Here is a 22,570-nt window from a genome sequence, read left to right as displayed (position 1 = left end):
TAACTAAAGAAGTGATTATATTGTCTCCCTGTGTTCTGTAACGTATTCTGTCTGTTGAGCTCCCCAGTGGCCCCACAACTTGATCTTTGGGTCCTACTGAGCCTATCCTCTTCGAGCCATGCCCAAATCTTTAGCATTTGCTCACTTCTTCCTCGACATGGTCAAACTCCAAAACTCTCTTCCCTTATGTCCCTTTCACACAAAGAACATTCATTGAAACACAATTAAAACAAATTAATAGCAATGTTGAATAAAGCTCAGAGTGTGATTCTCCTGAATTTTTCTGTTAGTTTGTGATTGGTTTGTTTTACCATCTATCTGTGCAACGAAGAAATGCATTCATGATGGTAGATGTGCAGACACCATGGTTTTTTTCCTAAGGAGGAGCAGGGGCCTTCCTAGTTTCACAGATTACACCTGGTAGATAATCACCAACTCTGTATTTGGGTGAGATCGGCCCGTTTAAGCAACTAATTGCAACATGGGGTGATGGGAGCCTTAAGCCAAGGGCAGGTGTTCTCAATATGGGCTGCAAAATAGAATCACCTGGGAAGCGTTTAAAAGGCTTGACTCTCAGACCGTACTGTAGACCAATTAAATGAGCGTTTTTTGAGTTAAGAACCAGACAGGTATTTTTTTAACTGCCTACATTATTTCAATATAATCTGGGCAGTTAGTACAAATATATTTCAATATTCAGTCAAGATTGAAAACCAGTGGCTGCCATAAGACTTTGTGGCCACAACAGTTAAACTCATCTAATCAGTTTTCCTCTGGCTCCTTCACAAAACAGTTGGTTCACCTGGAAACTTGTGCTCGCCTATAATAAATCATTTGCATTGCCTTGAAGATGATTTTCATTTTGCAGAAATTACCACTAATTGAAAGACAAATACACACCAAATTCTGATATTTAATGTTACTATTTCAATATATGTTTCTCATTTCTAAAATCAACTGGTAGGAAGTCAAACTAACATACTTGATAACAGAAAATAATTTCTAATTCGATGCTTGAAATTTAAGGGATTTCGGGTAAGGAGTCCTCACATGTTAGATGGTGTCGTCATCTACTGGCACAATGTGGTATTGCAGCTCATTCCTGAGATGCTGAGGACTCCGAGAGAGTAAGAGTGCTTCTGCCCAGAAGCGGTTTATCATTCACTTCAGCGAAACATAATTTTTCTGGGTCCAATACGTGGATTCCGCTATCCTCCAAGGAATCTTGGTTCTTACATAAAGACTAGTACTAGTGACCAAAATCTGATGCTGTCTCTGAATATCAGAGTTAGTGTTCAATCAAATTGTGTTCTGATGCAGAAAAAAATATTTGTGGAGAATAGAAATACAGAAAAAAAATGTTTTGGAGGAAACTTTAAAAGAATTCTGTGGATTAAACTAAAATTTCAAAGACTTATAAATCCAGAATATTAGGAGCCTTCCCCGCTCCTGATTTATTTTAATTGTACTGAATAATGCTTGTGAGTGTTATAATCAGCCTATCTGGAGGAACCCTATAACAAACCCTGAGATTTATCTTCCCAATATCTATTAGCCTCTTCCCCTTTACTAACAGCATTCAAATTTTGTTCCAAGAAAAATTGTCCCAAGCTACAAAACTCAACTAGCACCCCATGCCCTTCAGTTACGGGCCTCTGCATGAAACAGTTCTCATCAATGGAATGTCGATAACAACAGTCTGCTGGGAATTTCTGGGGAAAAGTTTTGCTTCCTGATAAACATGCAATTCTTCTTCATACTTTCTACCAGTAACGTGGGCAAATGTAAAATAGGCATCCTGTGGCCATTAGAACAGAAGCTACATGCTAAAGACAGGAAGGTAGGGAGGCAGATGGAGCCTGGAACAGCAATGGCTTCATGGACTTACTACCCTAGCTCTGGACTCTCTGTCTGCCTAAAGAAAGCCATTATAGACTGAATTTTGTCCCCACAAAATTTATGTGGAGTCTTAACCCCTCATGTGACTGAAGATAGGTCCTTTTGGAAGTATTTAAGGTTAAATGGGTCATAGGGGTGGGACCTAATCTGATCAGACTGGTGGTCTTAGAAGAAGAAAAAGAGATCTGAGGAACTGAAAAGAGCAGCGCCTTAATCTTAGACTCCCTAGCCTCCAGAACGGTGGGAAATAAATTTCTGTTGTGTAAGTCACCCAGTCTAGAGTATTTAGTTACAGCAGCCTACACAGACTAAAAAAAACCTCATCTGGTTAAGCCACTGTAGTGGGTTTTCTACTGCTTGCCTGCACCCTCTCCTCTGATGCAAAATGGGGTACCTGAAAGTGGGATATTGCAAGTAAAAGGAATAAAAATGTGAAATCTCCAGGAATACAAGGTAGAGAAGTAGACAGGTCTCACCCATTACAAGCTGCGAAGTTGATGACCTTTTTAATGTGGTTATTAAATATTTATATTTTTGTGCTTATTGTAGCTGCAGCATCAAGGGAAGTAATAGAAAAATTTAAAATGTGCGTGTTTCTTATTGCTGAGTTTTGCAAAGTCCTACTTGAAAGAAATGAATTCATACTAAAGCTAGTCATTCTGACAGCTAAGAGAGCAGGTGTGGGCCTGTGGCCTGCAATCTAAGATGTCTGAGAAGCCTATATGATAAGAGTCTACCAGCTTTGTGAAGAAAACACATTGCTTTCCTACCTTAAACTGAAGCCTTTCACGTCAGAGCTGAAGCAGCAGCCCTAGCAGGGGCTGGTATTGGGTTCCCAGCTCTCTCTTCCAGGTCTCTGCTGGACAAAAGAGGCACACCTGCTGGTAAATAGAGATTAAAGGGTGTTGCTTTTCCTCCAAATGTGTGATTTCACATTGCTGATGACAGAAGGTAAAAGGAAAGACTATGTGTGAAAAATGAAGACCTGTGACCAGGAAACAATATTTCTCAGACATTAATATTATGAGTCCATACTATCTTTGGCTATGGTTTCTCACATGTGGCATTGAATAGACTGAAAGGCTACAAAATTTCAGAAAGAACTGTATTTCTAAAGAAATATCAGGTCAGTAGAGGCAGAAGGAGGAGGTAGGGTTGCACACACCAGGGTGGGCAGCAGTTCACTCCTCAGTGCCCATGGGCTTTGGTCCATGCCTCTCCCTGGAAAGGCAGGAAGGCTTTGACATGGAGAGGGAGCTGCTGCCGCCATAGTTCTGAGCTTGAGGTTGCTAGGACTTATCTCAGACTTGTGTACTGAGGAAACTCAGATATTGGCCTCAGCTCCTAGGCTGCATTTAGCAGATCGACCTATGAGAACTTCTATACTGAGACAAAGGAAAGGATCCATCAGAAAGTAACATCTATTATCTTGAGCTTGGCAGCAAGGAAGAGGACAGGTATTGGAAACCCTGCTCTCTAAAAAGCTGACCGAAAAGTGACAAAAAAGCTGAAGATGGGTGGTGGAGACAGGTATAACATTCTAGCCCCTCAATCTAGAAATATTAGTAAGAACCAAAAGCAACTTAATAGAAGACCAAGGATCAGAATTCCCAGAAGATGGTTCATAAGAAAAAAGAAAGAGGATGTGGGTGGAATTAATTAGCAGCTGCATAACAGGTCATGCAAAATGGGGGGAAGAATAAAAATTTCCCAAATAATCAAAATTGGAGCTCTAGCTTATCAGGTCCCAGCTTACTTTTTTTTTTTTTTTTTTTTTGAGACAGGGTCTCACACTATCGCCCACACTGGAGTGCACTGGTGCCAACTCGGCTCACTTCAACCTCCGCCTCTCAGGTTCAAGAGATTCTCCTGCCTCAGCCTCCTGAGTAGCTGGGACTACAAGTGCCTGCCACCATGCCTGGACACTTTTGGTATTTTTAATAGACATGGTTTCACCATATTGGCCAGCCTGGTCTTGAACTCCTGACCTGAAGCGGTCCGCCTGCTTTGGCGTCTCAAAGTGCTGGGATTACAGGTATGAGCCACCGCGCCTGGGCCCCAGCTTACTTTTTAAATCTCAAGCGAATCACAACTATACTGGAGCCAAATTGATTGAGCTGCCATCACGAAGAGTTCTTCCCAAACTATCCTTCCACTGGGTTCCTGTTTCCTTTATTCCTTCAGATAAGGAAATAATGATATTTCAAATTAAAACCTTACTTAAAGTACAGGTATAAAATAAGATAAAGTACTGATGTTTAAATTTAGTTGTGTTGCTGGGCGCGGTGGCTCACACTTATAATCCCAGCACTGTGGGAGGCCGAGGTGGGCGGATCACCTGAGGTCGGCAGTTTGAGACCAGCCTAACCAACACGGAGAAATCCCATCTCTGTTAAAAGTACAAAATTAGCCGGGCGTGGTGGTGCATACGTGTAATCCTAGCTACTCGGGAGGCTGAGGCAGGAGAATTGCTTGAATCCGGGAGGTGGAGTTTGCGATGAGCCGAGATCGTGCCATTGCACTCCAGCCTGGGCAACAGGAGTGAAACTCCATCAAAAAAAAAAAAAAATTAGTTGTGTTTACAGATAATTGTCAGTTGGTCTGAAACAAATTCACCAGGGAATTAATCTATTAGTGTAGAATTGCTAATTAATGTAAAACATATAATTAGACTTCACCTCATTTGTTTTATGTGCATTGTGATGTAATGTAGCATCAGTGCAACTTAAAGTAATTAAATTAATAATTGTACTTGATATTAAGTGTTCTCAACTGAGTAACTTTTAAGTGAAACCATTCAAGTTTAGATGTGGGGAGTGGTAAAGGAATCAACTTGTTCTTTTGCTTGTTCGGGGAAAATGGTGATTTAAGTTTATCATTCATGGATCAGTAGATTTTGAAAGTTAGTGAATCAGATTATAAACATTTATCTAAAACATACAAGGACTGAGGACTAGGTAAACAACTGAAAGTTTAGTCTCTAGAAACACCCAAACTAGGAATAAGCCAACAACCAGATGCACTGCTAAAGGAAAACGTGAATGTTTTTAATAGTTGCATTTCAGTCAATTGTACAGTGGTGAAGGTGGAAAGGGCACTTGGGACTCGTTAGAATGAGGCATAGTATACTCCAATGGCCCTGTTTCTTAAATGTAGTCAGTAAGGGTCTGACAACAATATACCAAAACCATCTTTTATATAAACAGTATTTAATGGTCACTCAATAGCTTTCAAAATATATTTTTGTCTTACAGCACTGCACAACCTATTCTGAAAGTGATCTGGAGTCATCATTCCTGCAAAACATGCTTTGGAGAGAGGAAACTTGCTTGGGGCAGTTCCATAATATGAAAGTCGTAAGTACCTAGGGAAGAAAGAGGCATGTAAATACGTGTAATAAACTGATGCATGTGTAAAATTCTCTTGGCCTTTATCCTACAGAAATTAAATATTTAATATGAATTTTCTGAATGTAAGATTATGGACCGTTTTTTATACTATGGCCTAATTTTAAAGGCCCAAAATAATATTTTTTTAAGTTTGCCCTTGTGCTGAACTACCAGTGTATGTATGTTATACTTGATTTGGTTGTAAACTATATTTCAAAGTAAACCCTAGTGTAATAAGCTTTATAACCAAAAAGGTTTAGGCTGCTGAACCATTGTTTTTAAGAGATATAAAATGCAGCAGGGGACTATTCTTTTTCCTTCTCTAAGCCCAGAGAAGAACTACTAAGTGGTACCTCCAACCTCAAATATTTGTTTTGGCTTTTATCAAGACTTGCAACCTATGATACAAAGATAGTTTATATACGGTGCCAGTGGTGTTTGTTTTTTATTTGGTCAAGAGTAAGGGTAACCCAGGGGGCCACTTATGCAAAAGATATAAACTCTTGCATAATACATTGATAACATGTTTTACCAATCTCAAGGGTAAATGCTAAATATAAGTTAACCAAATAGCAAGTTAAAAGAAAAAAGGTGTGAGGGTCAATTTAATATTTCCAATTGTTAATGTTCTGTTTTCCAATTTTTCATCTTTTGTGATGTTTATGAGCAGACGGCTAAGTTGTATTTCTCCGAATACATTCAGATAAAATAATATTGCCCAAGTAAAATATTAATATCCTAAAGACAAGTTTATATGATACTTAATGTACATAACATGAATTTGAAGCATAAAATTAAAATAATAAAATTGTTTTACCCCCCAAAAAAAGAAATATCCAACATCAAATGATTAATCAATTAATAAAGAAATAACGGAGCCCCCACATTTCACCCACAGAAATGAGTTGTGGAAGCTGTGCAGTCCTGAAAGGTTATCCTCTCCGTGTCTCTTTTTGAGTGGCCACAGAGAGTAATAAACAACAGGACCCTAGCAAATTTGGCTAGCCAAGAAATTTATTTCACTGCTAGAGTAGGGAGTCCTTATTGTTCCTGCCTGGCAATAATTGGTTGATATGTGCTAATGTGGGCCAGTGCCTGCTATGTTTCTTGTTCTTCCTTTTTTCAAACAAAGACTTATAACCTCCCTTTAACCTTATTGCTCGACAGATAATGAGGAGCCACTTCGAGACCTGATGAAAATCAGAAAGCACATTACAAAAGATCCTATCTTTGAAGTGAATGAAATAACTGGATGAGACAATGGTGTGGTATTTCTCAGGGAGAAGCTGGAGAAGGTAGTCTATTTATGAGAGGAAGAGTGTGTATGAATATTACAAAGCCAAAGGGGTAGAATGTGGTAGAAGCCACTAGTTTTTTACCCAATAAACTTTCTCCTTTTATTTCTTATTAATGGAATCCCAATTTTGTTAAAATCAGCAATGTGCTCAAGAGCTGGGGATATGGTGACTGATCAGTTTTCCCTTTTTATGTTAACTGCAAGATGGCTTAGAACTAAGTTTGGAGCTCGTCTTTAGCCAGGAAGTCTCTGTGATGTGCAGTATTGTAACAGCCCCATTCCTAGTTACAGCTTATCTTTCCACTCATGATTTCCATTTTTCTTTTTCACCTATTTTCATAAATACTATTTTGCTATACTTACTTATCCCATCAAACCACCTTAAAACATTTAAAAATCAACCATGTAGAAAGAGCAGCAAGGAAAGCCAACAGAAATAAAGAGAAGGAGGAGAGAAAGAGAAAGAGAAGGAAGGAAGGAAGGAAAGAAAGAAGGAAGGAAGGAAAAGAAAAGAAAAGAAAAAGAAAGGAAGGAAAGAAAGAATGAAAATAATGGGAGAAAGAGAGGAAGAAAATAGAGAAGAGAGGAAGAAATGAAAAAGAAAGAAAGAAAACGAAAGAGAAAGAAGGAAAGAAAGGAGGAAGGAAGGAAGGGAAAGAGAGAAAGAAAAAGGGTGACATAAAAAGGGAAGAAGGAAAGAAAGGGAAAGCAAAGGACGTAAAACCTACAGTTTGAAACTTGCAGGTCTAAACCTACAAAAGGAAGATAAATGTCATTACTACTGATGACTTAAGAATTACACAACATGATTTGTAGAGAAAGGCTAATAAAAGATGTAAGGCATTACAAAGGAATACAAAGATAAAATTAATTGTCTGAAGTATGTGCTTGTAGTTCCAAGCTTTTGAAATATTCTTTCTCTCAGTTTCTGGTGGCATGTAGGAAATACTTTGATGCATGATAGCCTGTAAGCACACCATCAGGCAAGCTATTCCAGGGACAACTCCCCCCACCCACAGTGTCACTTGCCAGGTAACCTGATGAGCAGCTGTGGTTCATGCCATTCTCCTGCTTCAGCCTCCCAAGTAGCTGGGACTACAGGTGCCAGCCACCACGCCCAGCTAATTTTTTGTATTTTTAGTAGAGACAGGGTTTCACCGTGTTAGCCAGGATGGTCTCGATCTCCCGACCTCGTGATCCGCCCGCCTCGGCTTCCCAAAGTGCTGGTATTACAGGCGTGAGCCACCGCGCCCGGCCCTAAGGTATTTCTTTATAGCAATATGAGAACAAACTAATACAACTACTAATACACACAACAACATAGATGAACCTGAAAACATTATGTTGAATGAAAAAAGCTAGACACAAAAAAACTACACACCATATAATGTTATGTACATGAAGTCCAAGAACAGCCAACAGTAATCTGCAGTTAAAAAAATCCACGCAGTGGTTGTTTCTGAGGTGAGTATGTGGAGGGTAGGGGAACTGACCAGAAAGGGGCAAAAGAGAACATACTGGGGTGATGGAAATGCTTTGATAGTTTCATGAATATTTACCATTGTCAAATTTTGTTGACCTGAACACTTAATATTACATTGTGATATTTGTAAATTAAACTTCAAGAAGAAAAGTTAGAAAGGAAAATAAAGGGCTATCACAGATGTGGGTGACAGACTTGCCAACACTTTCCCTAAGTTAAGGATCCTGAAGTTTCAATTACCTTCTTGAAAACTGAGCAGACTGTAGCCAAATAATCCATTTCTGGCTGGCTGCAATTTTTTTCCATTGGAAGTAATGTGAAGAATAGGTCTCAGGAAGTCATTTTCCAAAGAATTCAATATTCCTGAATATAGTAAGGAGTGTTGGGCACTATAGGAGATCAAAGCCAGTAATTAATGAGTCTTGCTCTCCATTAGCCAGGCTCTTTGATACACTTCCAAAACGAACAGGTCTAGAAGGCAATTGGATGCGAATTTTTCACAGTCTTTTCTATGAAGGTAACGTGTCAGCAAAAGGGTTCTCCAGTTAATGAGAAAATTAATAGGACATTTTATTTATCTGTGCAAGTACAGACCTTACCCCAGTGAGAAGAAGAAGAGCCTGCCAGTACTAAATAACCCCAGATGGGATACTCCAGTGTTTATATGATGTTCAAAAATAGTCTTGTTTATTATTAATGATACTGTACCAGTTTCCTTAAGTGGAATGGGCTTTGGAGTCAGAAAGTCTGTCTACCAATAACTAGATAGACATCTTGGCCAAACCACCTTCAAACTACTTCACTTCTCTGAAGTAATTGGAGAATTCAATGAGATAATTTTTTTGGAATGACCAAATGAGATCAAATAAATGTAAATTGTGAGATAAGATTATTTCTTAACTTGTTCTTAGAGATCTGCTTGCCTAACACATATGTGGAAGGACAATTTTGATTTCCTTTTAAGGTAAAGACTTCCTCAGAAACATAATGGAGTTGTCAGTAAATTATTTTACCATTCTATCAGGTGACTTGCTTCTCTAATATCATAACTATGTAGAAAATATCAAAATCTTTGCAAGCATTAGGGAAGAATAAGAAATTCAAACATTTGAATGATTTTTAAGTACTGCTAAATTATTGTTTCCCATTAGAAGTGTATGACTCTTCATCGAATGGTAGTACTGGGATATGGTACTTTTGCTGGCGTAGGAGAAGGGTAGAGTCAAGGTAGGAAGTGGTTGCTTACTGCATGGGTCCTCAGCATTACAGCAAGGATGGAGAAATATATCATCACACTAGTCAGCTGTCAGAGGAGGAAGTTGGGCATGTTAGCAGATTTGAGATACCTTTAAAGTTATAAAGTCCTATTCATTTTCTAATAGCTCCTGTCAAGGCTTTTATACATGTGAGAGGTTGAGGTCTCTGATATAATATGATTATCCTACCTTCCTCCATTCTGATAACAATCAATGAAACCCATGAACATTGCATATGCAGTACCATGGATTAATTAAAAACTGAAGTAATGCTTAAAGCTACTGCATCTATACACAGACAAGAGCTCCCCTGGACTTCATCCATTTGGCTAATTCTGATGCTGGGCTTTTTAAAGCAGACAATATATGTGAATTTTTATCATTGCATAAATTGAGAGCAGTGACTCTCAGAATGGATCAGTGTTGAGGGTATTTGTGTTCCATCTGAGTGTCACCAAAGGGCATCCTCTGCATAGGAAGCTTCCAATAATCAAGTGGACAAGATGACACATTTTGTAGATATCAGTAGGCCTCTTTCCCTAGACACCCTGGTGCTTGCATGAAATGTCCATATACAAAATAGGTATGGTGGCAATGATGAAGGTAATGCATAGCCTTTTTTAAAAAAAGTGCATAAGTTGGTCTGTCTACTGCTGAGTGCATTTCCTATGCACAAGACAGACTAATGCTGAACCCCTGATATTCCAGCCCTTCTTCACTGTTTTGTGGTGGGCAGGTCTATGCAAACCTACTGTAAAGTGTGAGGAAGCTGAGAGACCAAAGAAAGGGGCTGACAAATACAGTTTCTCAGAAAGAAGCATTTGTCTAGGTGCAGTGGGTCATGCCTGCCATCCTAGCACTTTGGAAGGCAGAGCTGAGCGGATCACCCAAGCCCAGGAGTTCAAGACCAACCTGGGAAACATGGCAAAACCCTGTCTCTACAAAAATACAAAAAATTAGCTGGGGATCCTTGTGCATGCCTGTGGTCCTAGCTACTCAGGAGGCTGAGGTGGGAGGGTCACCTGAGCCTGGGAGGTCGCAGCTGCAGAGAGCCATTAACCTGCCACTGCACTCCAGCCTGGGTGACAGAATAAGACCCTGTCTCAAAAAGAAAAAAAAAAAGAAAGAAAGAAAGGAAAGAAAGAAAGAAAGAGAGAGAGAAGGAAGGAAAGGAAGACATTTAATAGGGACTTAGGAACAGAAGACATGTCTGTGTCTTGGGAAGCAGCAAGACAAGCTGGTAGATCCCCATGCATTGCCCACCAGACCTAGGGGTTTATATACCACAGGGAAGGAATGTGTCCTACACATTCAGAAGGCATGTGTAGGACAATTCAAGTATGATAACATCAAGGTTGTTTGACATAGGTGCAGGATTTATGGTAATTACCTGCTCTTACACAAGGAACAATAGATAACTGGAAATCTTAGAAACCTCACTGTAACAGGGGTTGATCGAAGCCAACATAGCAGATTAGCTTTCAAGTTGGAGTTGCTTCAGCCTCCACACTGAGAGAACCAGCCAGCCACCTGATGGCAGGTTGATTACACTGGACCTTTGTTATCACAAGTGAGGACAGCAATTTGTCCTCACTAGAATAGACTCATATTCTGGATATACATTTGTATTCCTTGCCTTCAATATGTCTGTCAGCACCATTATGGATGAACTTATGAGTTGCTTTATTCATTGCCATGGTATACCCACAATATTGTTTCAAATCAAGAAACTCATGTCATGGCAGAAGTAGAGCATCAATGGGCTCACCCCCATGGATTTCACTGGTCTTACCAAGAACTTGATACTACAGAAGGAAGTGACCTGATATAACGGTGGAAGAGCTTACTGAAGACTCAGTTATGAGGCCAGTTGAGAGATAATATTCTGCAAGGATGGGTATTATTTTACAAAGGGCAGTGTATGCTTTGAATCAACAACCAATACTTGATGCTGTTTCTCCCATAGACATAATGTGTGAATCTGAGAATCAGGTGGTAGAACCAGGAGAGATTCCTTTCACTATTACATTTAATCACCCTCTCTCAAAATTCTTGTTTCCCTTCTTCTCAACTTTGAGCTCTTTGAGTTTGGACATCTTGGTCACTAAGGGAGGAATGCTTCTACCAGGGAAAAATCAAAGATTCCTTTGACTTGGAAATTGAGACTCTACTTATCTTTCAGGCTCCTTGTGCCATGGATTCAACAGGCAAAAGGAGACAAATACGTTATTCTATTATCTGGTTGATTTCTTCTGATTACCAAGGGGAAAAGTATAGCTGCTATTTTCCTAGGGCTAGGGAAGACAGGAAATCAGGGGGTTCTCTGGAATGTCCTGTCGGACTCCACTGATAAGAGATTGTTGAAGGCTGACTGCAAGGCTGGAGCAGGAAGAGACATTCTCTTTCTTCTTTCCTTCCTGTTCCTGTCAGCAGGCCCCCAACAACACTGCACTGATCCAGAAAGAGCAATTTATTCCAGAAGCAATGGTTTATTCCAGTTCACAGTTATTCTAGACTACTAGAACCTCATAGCCTCATAGCATCCACTCGGAGGTATCAAGACCAGTTTACCAATGCCACCTCCTCAGAGATCTGGATTCTTTCTCCATGGTGCACCTCCTCCAAGTTTCTCGGGCACAAATATCAGCCAGGCAGCACAACTCTTCTTAGGGTTCTAAATACCAGATCCATGGGCCATCACTTGCATTTGGACAGGACGCTTGTTTTAGAGGTCCACTGTGTCTAACGGGGGTGCCTGCTCCTCAAGGCCTCTTCTCCAGGCTTCTGCATTCTGGTAATGCCGACCTCTCCTTCTTGTTTCTCTGACCCTACAGGAGGATGGTCTCTAATATATCAAAATTTAGAAGCTTCGAGAAGAGGCCTTGAGGAGAAGCCTGACTAAATCACTTGTCAGCAGTTGCACCTTTAACATACACTGTACATATCTAAGGAAGCATAAAGCAATGAACAGCATTTACTAAAGTATGTTCCCATCAAAACCTTTCAGGTATGAAGTCTTTACCTTGAATCAGACCTCATGTTTTATGGTTTTCACACTTTCTATGTCTAATTTTCATTGTTGGGAAGAAAAGTCATGAGTTAAATTAGGTAAAAATGCATCTTACTGAGTTTAAACTAAACAGTATTTTTAGAAATAAGCAGTTAATCTGAGGATAAAGTCTTACACAAAACAAATAAACAGAGAAAAACCCCCAAAAGTCAAGGACTGATAACATAGATCAACTGATGTTGACAAGAACTGATGTCCACAAGAGCAAAATGGAAAGACAATCTCTGGTTTTTTGTGTGTCACAGATGTGAAATATAGTTGGCCTGCAGTGGGAAGAATACCAAGAATAGGTAAGGATATCACCAAGGAAGGAGAGTACAGTTATCAAGAAAGACTTGAGATACCAGACCATCCTACACAGTACAATGAATGGCATATGAAGAAGTGGATGTACAGAGCTAACTGGGACATCGCATGGTACTGATCACTACCAGGAAGACATCGGATAGGAACCTGGGTGAAATCAGAAGGAACAAAAAGAGAGAGAATTATAATTGTGAGAAATACAATCAGTCTTGAATGTCTGACGACTCTGTGTGCATTGCAAACCTAATTTTCTATTGGTTCTTTCTGGAAAAAGACAAAGGCTCACTCAGAGGGACCTCTGTGACTTGGCCAGGCATCGGTTTCATATACTAACCTATTTCTCAGATTGCTGCCCTGCCCAGGAGGGTTGGACCTCTCAGAGTTGAGAAAAGAAGAGAGTCACTGCTCATAAAAACCCTGTGGGGCAAGATTAGTTTCATCTCCTCTTTACTGAGGAGAAAACTGAGACTCAGATAAGCAAAAGCTGCCTAGCTGGCAGGTGACAGAGCTTTGCTTAGAAGCCAAGTGTCTCTGACTCCAAGGTCGTCTGATGTCATACCTTTCCAACTGTAAGTTCAAAGTGTAGGCAGTTTAGAATTTAGGCTACAATATAAATCCCTTATTAATATCTCTCTCTGTCTCTCTTTTTACTATAATTGGGAAACTCTAACTGTAAGCTTCTTTGGGAGCAAAAATTTTGTGATCTTGTGATACTGTCTCAGTATTTTTTTTCACCTAAACAACTCTACTCTATAACTCTCAAGTTTAGTATTTACTTAGAAGCAGGAGATGTGAAAATTTTGAGTGCCCTAAGTATGTCTGGAAATACCTCAATTTGATTTTCACAGTCCAGTGCTACTCAACAAACTATAACTGAGCACTTACTCTGTGCTAGAAACAGCATTTCTGCTTTCCAAGGACCTCTAAGGTAAGAGATAAATAAACAAATAGTTTTATAACAACATAACTTAATAAAAAATATAAAATTACTATGAGACTTATGTGTAGGATGTTTTGAGTACACCGAATAGGAACACTTAACCCATCCTGGGGTAAGGTTAGTGGTCAGAAGAGGTTCCCCATAAGAGAAAGAATTCAAGTCTTGATGTCTAGTGCAGAAGTAGGAAAAGTGCAATCTGGGGAGTGGGAACATCTATTTAGAAACCACCAAGTCACTTCAAACTCAACTACCCTCACTTCATCCTCAATTACCTCCTTGCATTTGCATGTGCACACCTCTCTCTTTCTCTCTTACACACACACACACACACACACAATTTCTTATCGTGGTGAATAACAATCACACAATCATCCATCCAGTACTACAAATAGAAACCCAGGAGTTGACTTTATTATCCACCTCTCAACTATCACCAAGTCTATTTCTACCTCCTAAATATCTTCTTAGTTGCATCCCACACATAATGATATATCATATTTCTATTACTATTTAGTTCAAACTATTTTCTATATTGTGTCTACTGTTAAATCCATCCAATGAATGTTTTAATTTTTAAATTTATAATTGACACATAATAACTGTATGTTTATGTAGTACAACCTGATATTTTAATGCATATATGCATAGTATAAAGATTAAATTGGGGTAATTATCATATTAACCACCTCAAATATTTATCATTTCTTTGTGGTGGCAATGTTCAAAAATCTTCTAGCGATCTTGTAATATGCACTGTATTGTTATTTGGTACAGTCACTAATGCTGGTGAAGATGCAGAGAAAAGGGGATTTTTATACATCATTGGTGAGAATATAAATTGGTACAGTTATTATGGAAAACAGTATAAAGATTTCACAAAAAATTAAAAATAGAAGTACCATCTCCAGCAATCCCATTACTGGATACATATCCAAAGGAAATGAAATCAGTATGTTGAAGAGACATTTGCACTGCCTGTTTATTGCAGCATTACTCACAATAGCCAAGATTAGGAAATCAACTTAAATGCTCATCTGCACATTAGTGGATAAAAAAAATGTGGCATATATACATACAGTGGAATACTATTCAGCTATAAAACAGAATGAAATCCTGTCATTTGTGGCAACATAGATAAACCGAGAGGGCATAAATTCAGACAAGCCAGGGAGAGAAAGAGAAACTGCATGAACTGACTCATATGTGGAATCTAAACTTGATTTCACAGAAGTAGAAAGTAGAATAGTGGCCACCAGAGGCTGGGAGGAAAGGGGAAAGGGAGGACTTGGAAGAGGTTGGTCAATGAATTTACTAACTTAGATATTTAATAAAATATCTATATTTTATTTTTCAGTTCTAGAATATTATTTTAGTAATTGTCAGGAAATTATAATAGCTCTGTTAAAATTCTCCATCTTTTCATCCAGTTTGTTCATATTTTCTTCAACTTCTAATAGTTTCAATTTATCTCTGGTTTCAAATGTCTTCAGTGCAAGATCAGTCCTGTATGTATTACAAGTCCCTCCCTTTGGCAAGCCTTTGGGATCTCAGCACAATGAGTTGCCAAGAACTCCCTCTATCTGGGAGGGACTTACTATCCAGCCTTCAGATTACTGGGCTACCACATCCTCTCACACAAGTCTCCCGAGGGAGAATCGGTGGGCGGGAGAACTTGGCCTTGAAACTCCTCCAGATTCCAGTTGGTCTCACTAACCCACACACAGACATTTAAAACTCCACTGACTGCACCTTATGCAGGAAGAGTCTCCCTGCTTGAATCAGGCCCAATCCTCACCAGCCCACGCCTGACTCAGTAGTTGCCCCTAGCGAAGGTAATGCCTACTGATTTTCATTCTCTAGGAAGCACTTGTCTCCCTGGAATAGGGTTCCTTTGGACTTCTTCCTATCCACAACATTTTGATGGCTTAAAAAACATGTATGTTATTATATTATACTTTATTTTTTAATTGTTATAACTAAAACTGCAAGCCCCTTGTTATATGATCAGTAGTATGTTGTGAAATGCTACAGTCGAATCCATAAATAGCCCTTGAATACATCCAGTTTTCTCTGTCTCTGTTCTACCACCTGATCCAAGACACCATCATCTTCCCCAAATTCCTCATTGGTCTCCCTACTTTTATTCTCATTTCACTAGTCTTTAATCTGTTCTTCATTCTGCAATCATTGAACTCTTTAAAATGCGGACCTAATGATAGCACCCTCTTGATGAACACTTTTCAATATCTTTACTCGGAGGATAAAGATAAAAATCCTTAAAGCGTGATTTTTGGATGATAATGATGTGTCAGTGTAGGTTCATCAGCTATAACAAATTTACCACCTTGGTGGGGGTATTGATAACGGGGGAGGTTGTGCTTGTTTGAGGGGAGGGGGTGTATGAGAAATCTCTGTACCTTCCTCTCAATTTTGCTGTGAATCTAAAACTGCTCTAAAAATAAAGTCCATTAGAAATATATACATATATACAATTTGTCCATAAATAACAATCTTTACAGGCTATTCATCCCGACAGATGAGGTGATGAAAAGACTGACTCATCAATACTTTCCTCAGACATCCTAGACTAGGCCTGAGATTGGCCTTAATTCTTCTTGCTGAATGAGTATGGGATCAATAGAGGGCCCTCCAACCTCAAGGTCGCCACAGCATCAAAGCATCCCAGAATCTAACTTAACTTTCCATTGTTTTAACAATTATTTTATTAGGGACTTTACTCATAAGTGACAATCAGTAGAGTTGAGACCAGGGGTCGAGAGCAGTTGAGACCACCCGGTGCCAGCCCTTAAGTCGGGAGAGGCCTGGAATTCGGGCTGCTGTTTAGTAAGCTTATAGAAAAGAGTAGGGTCACTCTCACAACTGTCACCTTCTTTTCTTTTCTTTTTTTTTTTAGACAGAGTCTCGCTCTGTCCCCAGGCTGGAGTGCAGTGGCGCGATCTCGGCTCACTGCAACCTCCGCCTCCTGGGTTCAAGCGATTCTTGTGCCTCAGCCTTCCGAGTAACTGGGATTACAGGCATGTGCCACCACACCTAGCTAATTTTTGTATTTTTAGTAGAGACGGGGTTTCACCATGTTGGCCAGGATGATCTTGATCTCCTGACCTCGTAATCCTCCCACTTCAGCCTCCCAAAGTGCTGGGATTACAGGCATGAGCCATCGTGCCTGGACTCTTCTTTTTTTTAAATTTCATTTTTAAAATTTCAATTGTTATCTGAGTACAGGTCATTTTTGGTTAAGTTCTTTCGTGGTGATTTAGTGCACCTTTAGTGAGATTTTAGTGCACTTGTCACCCGAGCTGTGTATACTGTATCCAAAATATAGTATTTTATCCCTCTCTCCCCTACCATCTTTTTTTAGGCCTTTGCATCCTCATAGCTTAGCTCTCACTTGCAAGTGAGAACATACAATATTTAATTTTGCATTCCTGAGTTACTGCTTCACTTAGAATAATGGCCTCCAGCTCTATTCAAGTTGCTGCAAAAGACGTTTTTTATGGCTGAGTAGTATTTCATTATATATATATATATATATATATATATATATATATATATATGCCACATTTTATATATATATATGCCACATTTTTTTTACCCACTCGTAGTCGATGGGCACTTAGGTTGGTTCCATAGCTTTGCTGTGTGAATTGTGTTGGTATAAACATGCATGTGCATGTGTCTTTTTTGTATAATGACTTCTTTTCCTTTGGGTAGATACCCAGCAGTGGAATTGCTGGATCGAATGGTAGTTCTACTTCTAGTTCTTTAAGGAATCTCCATACTGTTTTCCATAGTGGTTGTACTAATTAACTTTCCCACCGGCAGTGTAACCTTGTTCCCTTTTCACAACATCCACACCAACAGCTATTGTTTTTGATTTTTAACTATGGCCCTTCTTCCAGGAGTAAGGTGGTAGGTATCTCATTGTGGTTTTGATTTTGCATTTCCTTGATGATTAATGATGTTGAGCATTTTTTCATGTGTTTGTTAGTTGTTTGTACATCTTCTTTTGAGAAATGTCTATTCATGTCCTTTGCCCACTTTTTGATGGGGTTGTTTTTTCTTGTCGATTTGTTTGAATTCTTTGTAGATTCTTCATACTAGTCCTTTGTTAGATACATAGCTTGCAAATATTTTCTCCTACTCTGTGGATTGTCTGTTTACTCTGCTGATTATTTCTTTTGCTGTGCAGAAGCTTTTTGTTTAATTAGGTTCCATTTATTTATTTTTGTTTTTGTTGCATTTGCTTTTGGAGTCTTAGCCATGCCTAAGCCAATGTCCACAAGAGTTTTTCTGATGTTACCTTCTAGAATTTTTATGGTTTCAGGTCTTAGATTTAAGTCTTTGATCCATCTTGAGTTGATTTTTGTATAAGGTGAGAGATGGGGATCTGGTTTTATTCTTCTACGTGTGGCTTGCCAGTTTTCTCATCACTCTTTATTGAATAGGGTGTCTTTTCCCCAATTTATGTTTTTGTATTCTATGTTGAAGATCAGTTGGCTGTAAGTATTTGGCTTTATTTCTGGGTTCTTTCTTCTGTTCTATTGGTCTACTTGCCTATTTTTATGTCACACTGTTTTGGTAACCATAGCCTTGTAGTATGATTTGAAGTCAGGTAATGTGATACCTCTAGATTTGTTCTTTTTGCTTAGTATTGCTTTGGTTATGTGGGCTCCTTTTTGGTTCCATATGAACTTTAGGATGTTTTTTCTAGTTCTGTGAAGACTTATGCTGGTATTTTGATAAGAATTGCATTGAATCTGTAGCTTGCTTTGGCAGTATGATCATTTTCACAATATTGATTCTTCCCATCCATGAGCATTGGATGTTTCCATTTGTTTGTCATCTATGATTTCTTTCAGCAGTGTTTTGTAGTTTTCCTTGTAGAAATGTTTCACCTCCATGGTTAAGTATATTTCTAAGGTTTGTTTGTTTGTTTTTTTGTTTTGCAGCTGTTGTAAAGGGGATTGAGTTCTTGATTTGATTCTCTGCTTGGTCGTTGTTGGTGTATAGCAGTGCAGTTAATTTGTGTACATTGAGTTTTTTATCCTGAGACTTTACTGAATTCATTTATCAGATCTAGGAGCTTTCTGGGTGAGCCTTTACAGTTTTCTAGATATACAATCACATCAGCAGCAAACAGTGACAGTTTGACTTCCTCTTTTCTTTCTTTCTTTTTCTTTTCTTTTTTTTTTTTTTTTTTGAGATGGAGTCTCACTCTATCACCAGGCTGGAGTACAGTGGCACAATCTTGGTTCACTGCAACCTCCGCCTCCTGGGTTCAAGCAATTCTCCTGCCTCAGCCTCCTGAGTAGCTGGGACTACAGGTGCATGCCACCACTCCCAGCTAATTTTTGTATTTTTAGTAGAGATGGGGTTTCACCATGTTGGCCAGGATTGTCTTGATCTCTGGACCTCATGATCCGCCTGCCTCAGCCTACCAAAGTGCTGGGATTATAGGCTGGAGCCCCTGCGCCTGGCCTGACTTCCTCTTTTCTAATTTGGATGTACTTTCTTTCTCTTGCCTGATTGCTCTGGCTAGGACTTCCAGTACTATGTTGAAAAGAAGTGATGAAAGTGGCATCCTTGTCTTGTTCCAGTTCTCAGAGGAATGCTTTCAAGTTTTCCCCATTCAGTATGATATTGGCTCTGGGTTTGTCATATATGGCTGTTATTACTTTGAGGTAAGTCCCTTCTATGCCTATTTTGTTGAGGGCTTTTATTGTAAAGGATACTGGATTTTATCAAATGCTTTTTCTCCATTTATTGAAATAATCATATGGTTTTTGTTTTTAATGCTGTTTATGTGATGTATCACATTTATTGACTTGTATATGTTAAACCATCCCTGCATCCCTGGGATGAAACCCATTTGGTCATGACGCATTATCTTTTTGGTGTGCTGTTGGATCCAGTTAGCTAGTATGTTGCTGAGGATTTTTGCCTCTATGCTCATCAAGGATATTGGTCTGTAGTTTTCTTTTTTTGTTATGGCCTTTGCTGTCTTTGGTATTAGGGTGATACTGGCTTCATAGAATGATTTAGGGAGGATTCCCTGTTTCTTTTGGAATAGTTTCAGTAGAATTGGTACCAATTCTTCTTTAAATGTCTGGTAGAATTCAGCCGTGAATGCATCTGGTCCTGGGCTCTTTTTTTTGGCGGGGGGACATTTTTAAAATTACTGATTCAGTTTTGCTGCCTGTTATTGGTCTGTTCATGGTTTCTATTTCTTCCTGATTTAATATAGAAGGGTTGTATATTACCAGAAATTTATCTATTTCCTCTAGATGTTCTAGTTTGTGCACGTAAAGGTGTTCATAGTAGCCTTGAATCATCTTTTGTATTTCTGTGGTATTGGTTTTAATATGTCACCTTTTTTCTTTTTTTTTTTTTTTTGGGAAATGATATTAATTTATTATTTCAATACACATTTAAATACCATCCTTACGTGTAGCTGTCTCATCCACTAATATATAAGGAAAGAATTTCTTCCTGGGGCAGTTTTTCATTAAAAACAGGTTCTCTTTGAATCAGATGGCTATGAATGTCAGTTTGCCATATTATCTCTACTTGTTTAATATTTTTCTTTTTTTTTTTTTGATTTATTTATGGTGTTTTTTTTTTTTTTTATTATACTCTAAGTTTTAGGGTACATGTGCACATTGTGCAGGTTAGTTACATATGTATACATGTGCCATGCTGGTGCGCTGCACCCACTAATGTGTCATCTAGCATTAGGTATATCTCCCAATGCTATCCCTCCCCCCTCCCCCGACCCCACCACAGTCCCCAGAGTGTGATGTTCCCCTTCCTGTGTCCATGTGATCTCATTGTTCAATTCCCACCTATGAGTGAGAATATGCGGTGTTTGGTTTTTTGTTCTTACGATAGTTTACTGAGAATGATGGTTTCCATTTTCATCCAATATGTCACCTTTTTTCTATGAGCCATATTACTTCCAATTCTAGAAGCATCATTCAACTCTTACAGCTACTTAGAGATGCTGAACCAGGTTCCCAAGCCAGAACAAGTTGGAGTATTTGTACCAACTTGTTTTATTTCACACCAAAATATTTTGCCATTGATAAAGTATACATCAAAATGTCTTTAGTTTAAACCATCCCATGTATAACATGCATGAAAACTATCTCTATAGACAGTGAATGGTGTAAAAGGAGTATTGGGCCTTATGAACTAGAAGACAGAGTCTACTGCCAATGTAACAGCGAGCTCTGCTTTCCCTTTCTTTCTAACAGAATCCTGATTTTGTGTTTAGATAGTGGCCAGAGGTATCTTTCCCATGCCTCTTTTATTTCCTGATTTAGGTTTTCTGAGGTCTGATGTCTAGAGCTGTGGTAGCCAGCTTGAGACTGTAAAATGACACACATAAGGAAAAAAAGTCTTGTTGTAAAAATGAAACAGAGGAAGTAGGGGAAAAAAAGCCTGTGTCTTTCTCAGGACCATTGAGTAATTGCAACATTGTGAAAAACTACTTTTAGATTTCTTGATGTACGAGAAAAATTAATTCCTACTTGTGAAAATCAAGGTTACTAAGTTGTTACTTGGTCTTGAAAATATTCTTTTTTTTTTTTTTCTGAGATGGAGTCTCACTCTTTTGCCCAGGCTGGAGTGCAGTGGCTCTACCTCAGTTCACTGCAACCTCCGCCTCCCGATTCTTCTGCTTTAGCCTCCCTAGTAACTGGGACTATGGGTGCACGTCACCACGCCCAGCTAATTTTTTGTATTTTTAGTAGAGATGGGGTTTCACCACATTGCACTGGCTGAGAAAATATTCTTAACTAATAGAGAATTGTTTCTCCTTTTAGGAAAACACAGAGCAAGATGTTTTTCCCTCTGTGAAGGACAGTATTTTATTATAGCTGCTGCTGTTTTTGCTACTAGAAGTTTAAGTGTGAAAACTTCCCAGTGTGTTGCGAAGCTGGGCAGCCAAGGGGAGGATTGTCCTACTTTTGACTCCCAACACTTTGTGAACACTATTCTATGCTTGGGGAATTCCCCATTTACAGTCTCTGCTTCCTGAACTCAGAACCCAAAACCTTCGTCTCTCAGCATTGGGTATAGGCCTGAGCCCTAGACTGTTCTAATGCACTAACATTACAATATGTTATGCACTACATATGCATTACAATATGGATGCACTAACATTACAATAGGAGTTGTAAGTGCCATGGAGAAGCAGATGCTGTGTGGACTCTGTTCAGTGAGGCATCAGGGACAGAGGTTCCAGTATCTAGGGCCAGTATCAGCCATGTGAACCTTGGGATGTTCTAGACGTAGTTCTCAGCCACGAAGTCTTCAAGGGACTTGGAAAAACCCTTAATGTACTTAAATAGTAGTTTCTGCTGAAAATAACTAAAACTGGTTCTGAGTAATACATTTCATTATGTTAATTAAAAAATTTTTGTTTATGACCTAATTGTTTTATTCTAAACTTTGCCATCTAGTCCTAATTGAACTCAATAGGTGACTGATCCAACTAAATCTGAGGTTGAATGGAGTTTTAAAACCTGAGACCAGCCCTGACCTCACTGGCTCTCTCAGAGGATGAAGAGCAGTACTGATTCATATTCCATGTCTTGGAACATCAGATTTAAGGCATTTTCAGAGATAAGCATTGGGTATTAGTATATGCTAGCACCTCTTGGTAAGGCTATGTATTTCTCTAACCAATCAATTGGTGCAATGATTCTCAACATTTTTTGTCTAAGGAGCCCTTCACTTTCTAAAAAATTATTGAGGATCTCAGTGTGACATTAATTATATCTGTTGATATTTCCTGTACTTGAAATACTGTGAGTAAACACAGTTTTATGAAAATAGTTTTTAATCATATTTTGCTGACCATCTGGAAATATTTGAAGGACCCCTAGGGAACACTGGACAGACAACTC

The 22,570-nt window shown here is 39.0% G+C and overlaps 1 pseudogene, besides 1 other annotated feature; it reads left to right on the top strand.

The window, feature by feature from the left end:
- Nucleotides 1,001-1,170: an enhancer, noted in NCBI's record as "active region_22889". NCBI's record gives its function as "activates an Ori minimal core promoter by ATAC-STARR-seq in GM12878 lymphoblastoid cells {active_cell/tissue: GM12878}" and the evidence as "EXISTENCE:reporter gene assay evidence [ECO:0000049][PMID:35858748]".
- On the top strand, nt 3,413-4,133 carry PNRC2P2 (PNRC2 pseudogene 2; annotated as a pseudogene).

This window comes from Homo sapiens, chromosome 5 (assembly GCF_000001405.40).
Source record: "Homo sapiens chromosome 5, GRCh38.p14 Primary Assembly".
In the NCBI taxonomy this organism is placed as follows: domain Eukaryota; kingdom Metazoa; phylum Chordata; class Mammalia; order Primates; family Hominidae; genus Homo; species Homo sapiens.
This window is presented reverse-complemented; position numbering and strand designations above follow the sequence as displayed.